Genomic DNA, 765 nt, shown 5'->3' on the forward strand with positions numbered 1-765 from the left:
AATTCATGACCATGAACATGCTGAGGATTGTAAGAGGAAGATGAATGGCACCTGGCCCCATCTGTGGGTCCATTCCTGCTGGCATTTGTGAGCCACTAACCTATCCAAACTTGGGGCTGCCCAATCCTCTGGGCTTCATGTTATGTGAGAAAATAATTATCATTGACAAAGACTTATAGTTGATCATCTATTACATGCAATGGACAGAAACCAATGAACACATTCCCTCTCCTAACACCTTCTCATAGCACTCAAGGACTTTACCATCCGAGTCCCCCACCTTTGCAGCTTCATGTTGGCTTCTATATTTGTCCACTTTCCTGACTACAAAGTTCTTTCATGTACTTTGTCCCATGAAATTCTCCCAAGATCCCTCTCGCTTAGGATTTTTTTTAATCCCCATTTTACAGGTGGGGAAATCAAGGCAAGGCAAAGTTAAGACTCAACCAAGATGCCCCAACTAGTAAGTGGCAGAGCCTCTGCTCGCTTCACCTAGGCCTGTTAACACCACGTCTTGAGTTCTAGTCACGACTCTAAGCTGCCTTTCTCATGAACCTATGCCCCTAATATAGGCTTTATTTTTGCCCGCCACACTGTGCCTATCCTCAAACATTGCCGAGAAAAGCCCTTTCCTCATCTCCACTTTCACAAATCTCCTCTATCCTGAATTCAGTGTAGGCTCAAACATCACTTCAAAAATAAGACAGTACCAGATGTTCTTGGCCTCAGTGATTGGATCGTTGGTGATCACAAGACACACACTAG

The sequence above is a fragment of the Homo sapiens genome, chromosome 3 (genome assembly GCF_000001405.40).
Source record: "Homo sapiens chromosome 3, GRCh38.p14 Primary Assembly".
NCBI classification, from domain to species: Eukaryota; Metazoa; Chordata; class Mammalia; order Primates; family Hominidae; genus Homo; species Homo sapiens.